This window comes from Homo sapiens, chromosome 11 (assembly GCF_000001405.40).
Source record: "Homo sapiens chromosome 11, GRCh38.p14 Primary Assembly".
Lineage (NCBI taxonomy): Eukaryota > Metazoa > Chordata > Mammalia > Primates > Hominidae > Homo > Homo sapiens.
In genome coordinates this window covers 76,959,525-76,973,219 of record NC_000011.10, presented here as the reverse complement: position 1 = coordinate 76,973,219, position 13,695 = coordinate 76,959,525, and the positions used below count along the sequence as shown (strand labels likewise).

Sequence of the window (13,695 nt, the reverse complement as noted above, 5' to 3'; positions counted from 1 at the left end):
TCCAGAATGGGTCTCACCAGGCTGAAATCAAGGGGTCAACTTCAGGGGAATCCGTTGCCTGCCTTTCCCGGCTTGAAAGGCCCCATCATGGCTGTCACCTGGGCAGCTGCTCTGCTCCATGGGCCTGGCCTCACTTATAGGGCTCCAAGAACAGTGCCTAGATCATCCTGAGAGCCCTGTGGCGTTACTATCTTGACAAAGGAACATTTGGGATGCACTGGAAGCCCAGAAGTCCACAGATGGGTATAGGAACCATCAGTTACTGTCGGGCACCTTGGGGGTCCCACACACACCACTGTGGGTGTCAGACCCTCAGATTGTTGCCACTTTGGGAAGGGGGTCAGCAGTTTGCAGAGGACTCTGGACAGCAGCAGGGAGCAGCAACAATACAGGGGTTCCCCCCAACCCCTGACCCTGCAGACCTTCACCCCCTGGTACATGGAGGAGGTGTCGTGCCCCTGCTTCAGGAAGCCTCGAGGGAGACACATGCACCCTCAGAATGCCCAGTTGGGGGCTCCTCACTGGAGGGCACTGGCAGAAACTGATGTCAGAAAACAGCAGCATAGAGTGGATCTGGCATAGATCAGGGTGTCACAGAAAAGATGCTTCATAAGATGTGTTTTGATGAGGATATTTAAATAAATGTAATTTAATTGATGTTAAAAAAAAGAAAGTGAAAAGAAAACTCACAGAAGAAAATATTTGCAAATCATATCTGTATCCAGAGTCTAGTATCTAGAATATAGAAAGAAGTCTTACAACTCAATAAGAAAAATACAACTATGGCTATTTTAAAAATAGGCAAAGGATATCAATAGACATTTCTACTATGAAGATATACAAATGGTGTCAATAAGCACATGAAAAGATGTTCAACATTAGTCATTAAGGAAATGCAAATCAAAGCCACAATGAGAGAAACTACTTCATACCCACAAGATGGCTATACTAAAAAGATAAACAATAACAAGTATTGGCAATGATATGGAGAAGTTGCTGGTGGGAATCTAAATGGTGCAGCCACTTTCAAAAACAGCCTGGCAGTTCCTCAAAAGGTTAAATGACCCAGCAATTCCACTCCTAAGTATAGGTCTAAGAAAACTGAAAACATACATCCACAATGAGGGAAACTAAAAATATTTCACCCCCAAATATATTTCTTTGATATATTTCAGGACAGCGATTCAGAGGGACTAGAAACCAAAGAATAGCTAAAAAGCTGTCTTTTCTAGGGGAGATGTGCATCTGTAGAGGAAATAAAGTCAAGTAAACAACAGATGCGAACAGGCTTTCTTTGAACCACCCCCCACCCCTTCATCTGGATCTAGGAAAGATTAACTGAGAATCTGACACCTTTAAAGGTCTGACAGAAATATTTACCAAAGGCTACCATCTATTCTTTCTGAGAGCTGCTACCCATGAAGTTTCATCCATATAACAAGGCTGCCTTTGCCAGCCAGGCCTTTCCTCTTCTTTCCCTCTTATAACCAGTCTTGCTACCATAACCTGTTTTGCTAAGCTCCAAGCCCCTATTCTTTCTGTGACCTCAAGATGGTATAAAAGTATCAATCTTCTGACCGTTTGAGTTTTTCATATTTTGTATGCCATGCCCATACATGTTAATAAGACCTGTATGCCTTTTTTCTTGTTAATCTATTATCGGTTTTTTTTTCTTTTTTTTTGAGATGGAGTCTCACTCTGTCACCAGGAGGAGTGCAGTGGCGCGATCTTGGCTCACTGCAACCTCTGCCTCCCGGGTTCAAGTGATTCTCCTGCCTCAGCCTCCCGAGTAGCTGGGACTGTGGGCGCGTGCCACCACACCCAGCTAATGTTTGTATTTTTAGTGGAGACGGGGTTTCACCATGTTGGCCAGGATGGTCTTGATCTCTTGACCTCGTGATCCACCCACCTCGGCCTCCCAAAGTGCTGCGATTACAGGCGTGAACCACTGCGCTCGGCCTATTAGTGTGTTTTATAGACTCAAATCATTGAGCCTTTGGGGAAAAATTTAAACTTCCCTACAACACAACATGTACACAAAAGTTCATAGCAACATTATTCATTATTCATAATACTTAAAACGTGGGAACAACCCAAATTTCCATTAATTGACAAGTGGATAAAAGAATATGGCATATCCATACAATGGAATATTATTCAGGTAAAAAAATTAAGTACTTCTTGCTACAGCATGGGTGAACTGTGTGAAAACATGCTAAGTTAAAGAAACCAGACACAAAAGGCCACACATTATATGATTCCATTGATATGAAATGTCCGGAATGGGCAAATCCATACAGGAAGAGAGTGATTGTCAGGGGTTGTTGGAGGGAGTAATAGGGAGTGGTTGCTAATGGGCATGGATTTCTCTTTGGGGTGATGAAATGTTGTGGGATTAGATAGTGGCAGTGGCTCCACAATCTGTGAACATACATAAAACCACTGACTTGTACACTTTAAAAGGGTGAATTTTTACTGTTGTATGATAGGGTAAAAAAAAAAGGTGAATTTTATGGTAAGTAAGTTATACTTTAAAAAAAAACTCACCTACATATCCACAATACTACCAACAAAATCAATAATTAACATTGATTTATTACTACATGTAATCCACAGACCTCATTCAATTTTTTTAAGTGTCTCAATAATATCATAAATACAAATATGAACACACACACACACATGTACATTGTATTTAGTTGTCAGGTCTTTTTATCTCCTTTTATCTGGAACACTTCATCAGTCTTTGAATTTTATGACTATCATACTTCTGAAGATGATAGGCCAGATGTTTTGTATAATGTCCTTCAATTTGGTTTTGTCTGATGTTTTCATAATATTAAATTCAGATTACGCATGTTTGGCAAGAGTATCAGAGAAGTGATGACATTTTTCTTGTCACTGCAGCCTATTAGATGGCATATGTAAACCAAAAATAAAGTTCTAAGCTCTCCAACTGACTGGATGAACCCCTCTTGGCCAAGGGGACCCCAGAGAAACATGAAAACTGAATTTTTAGCCATGATGGGGAAAGGAGGTCCGACATGCCTCGTTATAATCCTCACCCTTTTGGAGTTTAGGCACAACTGCCCATGATTAAGGTTAAAATAGAGATCATAAGACTGACAAAACAGACTGTGCCAATAAACAGCCATTACCAAATTATAATCACAGTAAGAGTTGCAAGGTAGCCATGAAAGCTAAGAGTTAAGTTACACCCTGCACACTATAAGATCTTATTAAACAGGTTTCTTTTTTTTTTAATTTTATTATTATTATACTTTAAGTTTTAGGGTACATGTGCACAATATGCAGGTTTGTTACATATGTATACATGTGCCATGTTGGTGTGCTGCACCCATTAACTCGTCATTTAGCATTAGGTATATCTCCTAATGCTATCCCTCCCCCCTCCCCCCACCCCACAACAGGCCCCAGTGTCTGATGTTCCCCTTCCTGTGTCCACGTGTTGTCATGGTTCAATTCCCACCTATGAGTGAGAACATGCAGTGTTTGGTTTTTTGTCCTTGTGATAGTTTGCTGAGAATGATGGTTTCCAGCTTCATCCATGTCCCTACAAAGGACATGAACTCATCCTTTTTTATGGCTGCATAGTATTCCATGGTGTGTATGTGCCATATTTTCTTAATCCAGTCTATCACTGTTGGACATTTAGGTTGGTTCCAAGTCTTTGCTATTGTGAATAGTGCCACAATAAACATACGTGTGCCTGTGTCTTTATAGCAGCATGATTTATAATCCTTTGAGTATATACCCAATAATGGGATGGCTGGGTCAAATGGTATTTCTAGTTCTAGATCCTCGAGGAATCGCCACACTGTCTTCCACAATGGTTGAACTAGTTTACAGTCCCACCAACAGTGTAAAAGTGTTCCTATTTCTCCACATCCTCTCCAGCACGTGTTGTTTCCTGACTTTTTAATGATCACCATTCTAACTGGTGTGAGATGGTATCTCATTGTGGTTTTGAATTGCATTTCTCTGATGGCCAGTGACGATGAGCATTTTTTCATGTGTTTTTTTGGCTGCATAAATGTCTTCTTTTGAGAAGTGTCTGTTCATATCCTTTGCCCACTTTTTGATGGAGTTGTTTGTTTTTTTCTTGTAAATTTGTTTGAGTTCATTGTAGATTCTGGATATTAGCCCTTTGTCAGATGAGTAGATTGCAAAAATTTTCTCCCATTCTGTAGGTTGCCTGTTCACTCTGATGGTAGTTTCTTTTGCTGTGCAGAAGCTCTTCAGTTTAATTAGATCCCATTTGTCAACTTTGGCTTTTGTTGCCATTGCTTTTGGTGTTTTAGACATGAAGTCCTTGCCCATGCCTATGTCCTGAATGGTATTGCCTAGGTTTTCTTCTAGGGTTTTTATAGTTTTAGGTCTAACATGTAAGTCTTTAATCCATCTTGAATTAATTTTTGTATAAGGTGTAAAGAAGGGATCCAGTTTCAGCTTTCTACATATGGCTAGCCAGTTTACCCAGCACCATTTATTAAATAAGGAATCCTTTCCCCATTTCTTGTTTTTCTCAGGTTTGTCAAAGATCAGATAGTTGTAGATATGTGGCATTATTTCTGAGGGCTCTGTTCTGTTCCATTGGTCTATATCTCTGTTTTGGTACCAGTACCAGGCTGTTTTGGTTACTGTAGCCTTGTAGTATAGTTTGAAGTCAGGTAGAGTGATGCCTCCAGCTTTGTTCTTTTGGCTTAGGATTGACTTGGCTATGCGGGCTCTTTTTTGGTTCCATGTGGACTTTAAAGTAATTTTTTCCAATTCTGTGAAGAAAGTCATTGGTAGCTTGATGGGGATTGCATTCAATCTATAAATTACCTTGGGCAGTATGGCCATTTTCACGATATTGATTCTTCCTACCCATGAGCATGGAATGTTCTTCCATTTGTTTGTATCCTCTTTTATTTCCTTGAGCAGTGGTTTGTAGTTCTCCTTGAAGACGTCCTTCACATCCCTTGTAAGTTGGATTCCTAGGTATTTTATTCTCTTTGAAGCAATTGTGAATGGGAGTTCACTCATGATTTGGCTCTCTGTTTGTCTGTTATTGGTGTATAAGAATGCTTGTGATTTTTGCACATTGATTTTGTATCCTGAGACTTTGCTGAAGTTGCTTATCAGCCTAAGGAGATTTTGGGCTGAGACGATGGGGTTTTCTAGGTATACAATCATGTCATCTGCAAACAGGGACAATTTGACTTCCTCTTTTCCTAATTGAATGCCCTTTATTTCCTTCTCCTGCCTGATTGCCCTGGCCAGAACTTCCAACACTATGTTGAATAGGAGTGGTGAGAGAGGACATCCCTGTCTTGTGCCAGTTTTCAAAGGGAATGCTTCCAGTTTTTGCCCATTCAGTATGATATTGGCTGTGGGTTTGTCATAAGTAGCTCTTATTATTTTGAGATATGTCCCATCAATACCTAATTTATTGAGAGCTTTTAGCACGAAGGGCTGTTGAATTTTGTCAAAGGCCTTTGCTGCATCTATTGTGATAACCATGTGGTTTTTGTCTTTGGTTCTGTTTATATGCTGGATTACGTTTATTGATTTGCCTATGTTGAACCAGCCTTGCATCCCAGGGATGAAGCCCACTTGATCATGGTGGATAAGTTTTTTGATGTGCTGCTGGATTCGGTTTGCCAGTATTTTATTGAGGATTTTTGCCTCAATGTTCATCAAGGATATTGGTCTAAAATTCTCTGCCAGGCTTTGGTAACAGGATGATGCTGGCCTCATAAAATGAGTTAGGGAGGATTCCCTCTTTTTCTATTGATTGGAATAGTTTCAGAAGGAATGGTACCAGCTTCTCCTTGTACCTCTGGTAGAATTCGGCTGTGAATCCGTCTGGTCCTGGACTCTTTTTGGTTGGTAAGCTATTAATTATTGCCTCAATTTCAGAGCCTGTTATTGGTCTATTCGGAGATTCAACTTCTTCCTGGTTTAGTCTTGGGAGGGTGTATGTGTCAAGGAATTTATTCATTTCTTCTAGATTTTCTAGTTTATTGGCATAGAGGTGTTTATAGTATTCTCTGATGGTAGTTTGTATTTCTGTGGGATCGGTGGTGATATCCCCTTTATCATTTTTGATTGTGTCTATTTGATTCTTCTCTCTTTTCTTCTTTATTAGTCTTGCTAGCGGTCTATCAATTTTGTTGATCTTTTCAAAAAACCAGCTCCTGGATTCTTTGATTTTTTGAAGGGTTTTTTGTGTCTTTATCTCCTTCAGTTCTGCTCTGATTTTAGTTATTTCTTGCCTTCTGCTAGCTTTTGAATGTGTTTGCTCTTGCTTCTCTAGTTCTTTTAATTGTGATGTTAGGGTGTCAATTGTAGATCTTTCCTGCTTTCTCTTGTGGGCATTTAGTGCTATACATTTCCCTCTACACACTGCTTTGAATGTGTTCCAGAGATTCTGGTATGTTGTGTCTTTGTTCTCGTTGGTTTCAAAGAACATCTTTATTTCTGCCTTCATTTCGTTATGTACCCAGTAGTCATTCAGGAGCAGGTTGTTCAGTTTCCATGTAGTTGAGCAGTTTTGAGTGAGTTTCTTAATCCTGAGTTCTAGTTTGATTGCACTGTGGTCTGAGAGACAGTTTGTTATACTTTGTTCTTTTACATTTGCTGAGGAGTGCTTTACTTCCAACTATGTGGTCAATTTTGGAATAGGGGTGGTGTGGTGCTGAAAAGAATGTATATTCTGTTGATTTGGGGTGGAGAGTTCTGTAGATGTCTATGAGGTCCGCTTGGTGCAGAGCTGAGTTCAATTCCTGGATATCCTTGTTAACTTTCTGTCTCGTTGATCTGTCTAATGTTGACAGTGGGGTGTTAAAGTCTCCCATTATTATTGTGTGGGAGTCTAAGTCTCTTTGTAGGTCACTAAGGACTTGCTTTATGAATCTGGGTGCTCCTGTATTGGGTGCATATATATTTAGGATAGTTAGCTCTTCTTGTTGAATTGATGCCTTTACCATTATGTAATGGCCTTCTTTGTCTCTTTTGATCTTTGTTGGTTTAAAGTCTGTTTAATCAGAGACTAGGATTGCAACCCCTGCCTTTTTTTGTTTTCCATTTGCTTGGTAGATCTCCCTCCATCCCTTTATTTTGAGCCTATGTGTGTCTCTGCACATGAGATGGATCTCCTGAATACAGCACACTGATGGGTCTTGACTCTTTATCCAATTTGCCAGCCTGTGTCTTTTAATTGGAGCATTTAGCCCATTTACATTTAAGGTTAATATTGTTATGTGTGAATTTGATCCTGTCATTATGATGTTAGCTGGTTATTTTGCTCGTTAGTTGATGTAGTTTCTTCCTAGCCTTGATGGTCTTTACAATTTGGCATGTTTTTGCAGTGGCTGGTACCGGTTGTTCCTTTCCATGTTTAGTGCTTCCTTCAGGAGCTCTTTTAGGGCAGGGCTGGTGGTGACAAAATCTCTCAGCATTTGCTTGTCTGTAAAGGATTTTATTTCTCCTTCACTTATGAAGCTTAGTTTGGCTGGATATGAAATTCTGTGTTGAAAATTCTTTCCTTTAAGAATGTTGAATATTGGCCCCCACTCTCTTCTGGCTTGTAGAGTTTCTGCTGAGAGATCAGCTGTTAGTCTGATGGGCTTCCCTTTGTGGGTAACCCTACCTTTCTGTCTGGCTGCCCTTAACATTTTTTCCTTCATTTCAGCTTTCGTGAATCTGAGAGTTATGTGTCTTGGAGTTGCTCCTCTCGAGGAGTATCTTTGTGGCATTCTTTGTATTTCCTGAATTTGAATGTTGGCCTGCCTTGCTAGATTGGGGAAGTTCTCCTGGATAATATCCTGCAGAGTGTTTTCCAACTTGGTTCCATTCTCCCTGTCACTTTCAGGTACAACAATCAGACGTAGATTTGGTCTTTTCACAGTCCCATATTTCTTGGAGGCTTTGTTCGTTTCTTTTTATTCTTTTTTCTCTAAACTTCTCTTCTGGCTTCATTTCATTCATTTCGTCTTCCATCACTGATAGCCTTTCTTCCAGTTGATCGCATCAGCTACTGAGGCTTGTGCATTCGTCACGTAGTTCTCGTGCCGTGGTTTTCAGCTCCATCAGGTCCTTTAAGGACCTCTCTGCATTGGTTATTCTAGTTAGCCATTCATCTTATTTTTTTTCAAGGTTTTTAACTTCTTTGCCATTGGTTCGAACTTCCTCCTTTAGCTTGGAGTAGTTTAATCTTCTGAAGCCTTCTTCTCTCAACTTGTCAAAGTCATTCTCCGTCCAGCTTTGTTCCATTGCTGGTGAGGAGCTGCATTCCTTTGGAGGAGGACAGGCGCTCTGATTTTTAGTTTCCAGTTTTTCTGCTCTGTTTTTTCCCATCTTCATGGTTTTATCTACCTTTGGTCTTTGATGATGGTGACGTACAGATGGGTTTTTGGTGTGGATGTCCTTTCTGTTTGTTAGTTGTCCTTCTAACAGTCAGGACCCTCAGCTGCAGGTCTGTTGGAGTTTGCTGGAGGTCCACTTCAGACCCTGTTTGCCTGGGTATCAGCAGTGGTGGCTGCAGAACAGAGGATATTGGTGAACCGCAAATGCTGCTGCCTCATCATTCCTCTGGAAGTTTTGTCTCAGAAGAGTACCCAGCCGTGTGAGGTGTCAGTCCACCCCTACTGGGGGGTGCCTCCCAGTTAGGCTACTCGGGGGTCAGGGACCCACTTGAGGAGGCAGTCTGCCCGTTCTCAGATCTCAAGCTTCATGCTGGGAGAACCACTACTCTCTTCAAAGCTGTCAGACAGGGACATTTAAGTCTGCAGAGGTTACTGCTGCCTTTTGTTTGTCTGTTCCCTGCCCCCAGAGGTGGAGCCTATAGAGGCAGGCAGGCCTCCTTGAGCTGTGGTGGGCTTCATCCAGTTCGAGCTTCCCGGCCGCTTTGTTTACCTACTCAAGCCTCGGCAATGGCAGGCGCCCCTCCCCCAGCCTCACTGCTGCCTTGCAATTTGATCTCAGACTGCTGTGCTAGCAGTGAGAGAGGCTCCGTGGGCGTAGGACCCTCCGAGCCAGGTGCGGGATATAATCTCCTGGTGTGCGGTTTGTTAAGCCCATTGGGAAAGTGCAGTATTAGGGTGGGAGTGACCTGATTTTCCAGGTGCCATCGGTCACCCCTTTCTTTGACTAGGAAAGGGAATTCCCTGACCCCTTGCACTTCCTGGGTGAGGCGATGCCTCGCCCTGCTTTGGCTCACGCACATGCACTGCACCCACTGACCTGCACCCAATGTCCGGCACTCCCCAGTGAGATGAACCCGGTACCTCAGTTGGAAATGCAGAAGTCACCCGTCTTCTGTGTCGCTAACGCCGAGAGTTGTAGACTGGAGCTGTTCCTATTTGGCCATCTTGGCTACTTGACCAGGTTTCTTTTCTTAACGCAGCATAATGTGGCTTACTTTTCAACCTGACTTTGGTATAGCATCACATGACAAGGAAATCAAAGGACCTCTTGAGACTCTATTGTCCTGAGATAGGAATAATACAGGGTGGAGAAGAAATTCCAGGCAGCAATTTCACATGACTTAGAGTCTTTGGGCTGGTAAGATCCTGAAAAACAGGGTGTGGACCAAGCTGGCTAAGACCGATTGGATCCAGCATGTCACTGGATTTGACCGAGGTTTCACCTAGGACCTCATTATATGCTCATTAACATACTAAACCACAAACCCAGCAGCACCATTGAAATAGGTCAGGGTCACTGGTCTCGTTGTCTAATGTGTTATCCGAGCTTGTGGTCTCAAGAAAATTAAGGAGTGTGGACCCAAAGAATGAGGTTGGAGGAAAAGTTTAATAAGCAAAAGAAGAAAAGCTGAATTGAAAAGCTTTCACAAGAAACTGCTCTCATGTCTGTAAGTGTTTGAGAAACTTATCTATGCATAACTTCCCTTTATGTAGTTGTGGGTATGTCTCTAGGTAAGCATAAAGTGAAACTTTTTGTTTGTATAATTGTGGTTTTGTTTAAAGTAAGCCCCCCTCCTCCCTCTGCAAGTTTCCATGGGGCCCACTGTGTACATGTCTGAAAAGGGGAGGAAACTTCCTGGGAGCTCGCTAATCATACAAAGAGCAAAAGGCTTCTATGCTGGACTTTTCCTGCCTTGCCTGCTTATCTGTGGCTTATCTGTGCAGGTGCACTGTAGCTGCGATTTTTCAGGCAGGCAGCTTCTACAGTCTGAGTTTTTCTCCAAGCTGCTCTATCTTGCCTGTAGCTGTGATTTTTCAGGCAGGCAGCTTTTCCAAGGACCAGCCTTAACCGTTTACCTAACTAATTTTTCCTTTTCTTCTCCCTCACTATGACAGTTCCAGGAACACCTATTGGGTGGCACCACAGTTCTGATAAATCTCTACCTTTTTCCAGGAATTTTCATGAATATTCCATTCCTTGGTTAGAGAAACACATAAAGGTAGCAGCCCCAAACCCCACTGCATGACACTCTCTCAAGTACACCTGCACTCCCTTGAGTGTGTACTTTTACTCTTTGCAATAAATTTCTTTACTTTCATTATTTTTCGACTTGTCCTTGAATTCATTCTTGTGATGGTGCCAAGAGCCTAGACATTGGCTAGGATAGAGGTCCACTGCTGTTTGGGGACTTCCCCCAGCCCACCAGTATCACACCATGCCATGGTCACTAATATTGGCTCAGAATAAACCTTTAAAAAATACTTGACAGGCCAGGCACAGTGGCTCACGCCTGTATTCCCAGCACTTTGGGAGGCCAGGTGGGTGGATCATCTGAGGTCAAGAGTTCAAGACCAGCCTGGCCAATGTGGTGAAACCCCGTCTCTACTAAAAATACAAAAATTAGCGAGGCATGGTGGCGGGTGCTTATAACCCCAGCTACTCAGGAGGCTGAGGCAGGAGAATCGCTTGAACCTGGGAGGCAGAGGTTGCAGTGAGCCGAGATCACACTACATTCCAGTGTCACTCTGGGCGACAGAGTGAGACTCCATCTCAAAAAAAAAAAAAAAAAATTAGCTGGGCATGGTGGTGCACGCCTGTAACCCCAGCTACTCGGGAGGCTGAGGCAGGAGAATCACTTGAACCTGGGAGGCAGAGGTTGCCGTGAGCCAAGATTACACCACTGCATGCCAGCCTAAGTGACAAGGGTGAAACTCCATCTCAAAAAATAATAATAATAAAAATTAAAAATAATAAAATAAAGATATTTGACAGGGTTTAGTTTTTCCATTAACACATATAATTTTGATTTGTCCCATTAGTGATGATTAGGTTGCTTGATTAAGGTGTTTCCCACTTGGCTTCTCCACTGTAAAGGTATTCTTTCTCCCCTTTTTAAGTATTTTGTGGAAAGGTACTTTGAAACTATGTAAATATACTCTTTAACATCAAACTTTTTCTTTATTCATTTATTTATACTCATGTATTATTTCATTTAATACATCATTTATTATCTAGTATGGACTCAGATTTCCCATATTACTCATCGGGTTACATTATAACTATTATAACCCATTACCATTTATTTTGATGCTCAAATTGCCCCATATTTGGCCAGCAGGAACCTCTTCAAGTTGGCTTCAGTGTCCTTTTGACATATTCCCATAATTTTTTGAGCCTTTCCATTTTTTCTGGCATAAAAAGATGATCTAGGCTGATATTGTCCTTTTTTTTTTTTCTGCCCCAGCCCTTGGAATCAGCCCTGGTTCCTTTTAAAGAAGAATGATTTTTAGAAAACAAGATCTGGATGCTAGGTATATTCTTTGGCTTTGAAGTTCCCCATTCCCAGATCCTCTCATGGACAGAGCTTGAGAATGTATGTATATATATGTGTATTAAAATATTTAAGTATGTATACATATACACAAAATACATACATATGCATATCACATATTTTCACATCTATATTTATGTCTATTATATATGTATGTATTGAACATAGGAGTCTGCACTGTTAACTCCAATTTCAGTTTGTCACCACAGAGCTCATTCTAGTTTTCATCTTTTCCGTATTTGCGACTTTTGTTCTCTAACAGTAAGAAACCTGGCTCCCATTCTCCTTAATGTATTTATTTATTTGATTAATTACCCTGTATGCAACATGGCTTCCATTGCTACCTCTCCTTTTCCCAAGCAATGCCCTTCTCACTCAATTCAGGCTCCAACACTTGGTGCTGGGCTGCTGCTGCACCTCCACTTAGACAGCCTCTCGACTCTGCTTGTGCTCTCAGATCCTGCACTGGGCCACTCTGCCATGTAGAAGTCACTCTCACCTTCCCAGGGTACCAAAACATGGCACAAAGCTGTCCCCACTATGTGGCACTCTCTCCATCCCACTCAGATTCCAACCGCATGTCAAATGACCCCCCCAACTTGGGAGGACACCCTTCTTATTCTGCACTGAGCTGTCCCCTTTGCATGGATACCTTTTCAACCCTGGTCTCTAATACACTGTCCCTGGGCTGCCTTGATGTGCAAATACCCTCCTCACTCCTAGTTAGGCTCTGACACCCTACACTGGACTATCCCCCTATGTTGACACTCTCTTTAACTGGCTGAGGTCCCAGAGTTCTGTGATGGATGGTCCCCACCCCATGTGGCTATCCTATAAGCCACACTCAGGTTTTGACACTCCAATGTGGCTACTGAGCACTTGAAATAAGCCTAATCTGAACTAAAAATATATTGCAGGTATAATAACCAGATTTAAGAATATGAAATACTTTATTCATAATTTTTTATATTGATTATATATAGAGAGAGAAGTAGTATTTTAGATATACTGGGTTAAATAAAATTTATTATGATTATTATTATTATTTGAGACAGAGTCTTGCTCTGTCGCCAGGCTGGAGTGCAGTGGCGTGATCTTGGCTTACTGCGATCTCCGCCTCCCAGGCTCAAGAGATTCTCCTGTCTCAGCTTCCCGGGTAGCTGGGATTACAGGTGCACACCACCACACCCAGCTAATTTTTGTATTTTTAGTAGAGACGGGGTTTCCACATGTTGGCCAGGATGGTCTCAATCTCCTGACCTCGTGATCCACCCACCTCCGCCTCTCAAAGTGCTGGGATTACAGGCATGAGCCACCGCGCCCAGCCAAATAAAATATATTATTATTTTCACCCATTTCTGTGTACTTTTTTTCAATGTAGCTACTAGAAAAATTTAAATTACAAATGTAGCTCAGATTTTACTTGTACTACTGTTCTAGAAGTTTCTGGATTAGTGATGGGAAATCAAGAGATCAAAAGACTGAGGACTTGACATATATGCCCTCCTCAGAGTAAGGATGGAAACTAAAAATCCTTGGCTAGCTCTGCAGGGGTGTCCAATCTTTTGGCTTCCCTGAGCCACACATAAAATTAACACTAACGGCCGGGTGCGGTGGCTCATGCTTGTAATCTCAGCATTTTGGGAGGCTGAGGCAGGCGGATCACCTGAGGTCAGGAGTTCGAGACCAGCCTGGCCAACATGTTGAAACCCCGTCTCTACTAAAAATATAAAAAATTAGCCGGGCTTGGTGGTGGGTGCCTGTAGTCCTAGCTACTTGGGAGGCTGAGGCAGGAGAATTGCTTGAACCTGGGAGGCAGAGGTTGCAGTGAGCCAAGATTGCACCACTGCACTCCAGCCTGGGCAATAAGAGCAAAACTTTGACTCAAAAAAATGAAAAATAAAAATAAAAATAAATTGCAAAAAAAAACC

At 42.0% G+C, this 13,695-nt stretch overlaps 1 protein-coding gene and 1 long non-coding RNA gene across 13 annotated transcripts in view, besides 2 other annotated features; one reads left to right on the top strand and one right to left on the bottom strand.

The window, feature by feature from the left end:
• The window catches only part of ACER3 (alkaline ceramidase 3), a 165,880-nt gene that overhangs the window by 53,578 nt on the left and 98,607 nt on the right, over nt 1-13,695 (bottom strand). The window lies entirely within an intron of this gene.
• Nucleotides 1-13,695, top strand: part of ACER3-AS1 (ACER antisense RNA 1) — an 80,139-nt gene that overhangs the window by 62,465 nt on the left and 3,979 nt on the right. The window contains exon 2 of one of the 4 annotated variants that reach the window (XR_007062791.1): nt 11,678-11,806. The exons of 2 other annotated variants lie outside the window; for them this stretch is intronic. This is a non-coding gene — a long non-coding RNA (ACER antisense RNA 1). Of the gene's footprint in view, nt 1-9,311; nt 9,881-11,677; nt 11,807-13,695 lie in introns of those variants that run through there. One more of the 4 variants, XR_007062793.1, reaches the window with a different exon arrangement.
• Nucleotides 8,619-9,818: an enhancer, noted in NCBI's record as "BRD4-independent group 4 enhancer chr11:76674446-76675645 (GRCh37/hg19 assembly coordinates)". NCBI's record gives its function as "activates an origin of replication core promoter dependent on BRD2, P300/CBP, MED14 and CDK7 cofactors, and independent of BRD4, by STARR-seq in HCT116 cells {active_cell/tissue: HCT116}" and the evidence as "EXISTENCE:reporter gene assay evidence [ECO:0000049][PMID:35650434]".
• Nucleotides 10,040-10,099: a silencer, noted in NCBI's record as "silent region_3793". NCBI's record gives its function as "represses an Ori minimal core promoter by ATAC-STARR-seq in GM12878 lymphoblastoid cells {active_cell/tissue: GM12878}" and the evidence as "EXISTENCE:reporter gene assay evidence [ECO:0000049][PMID:35858748]".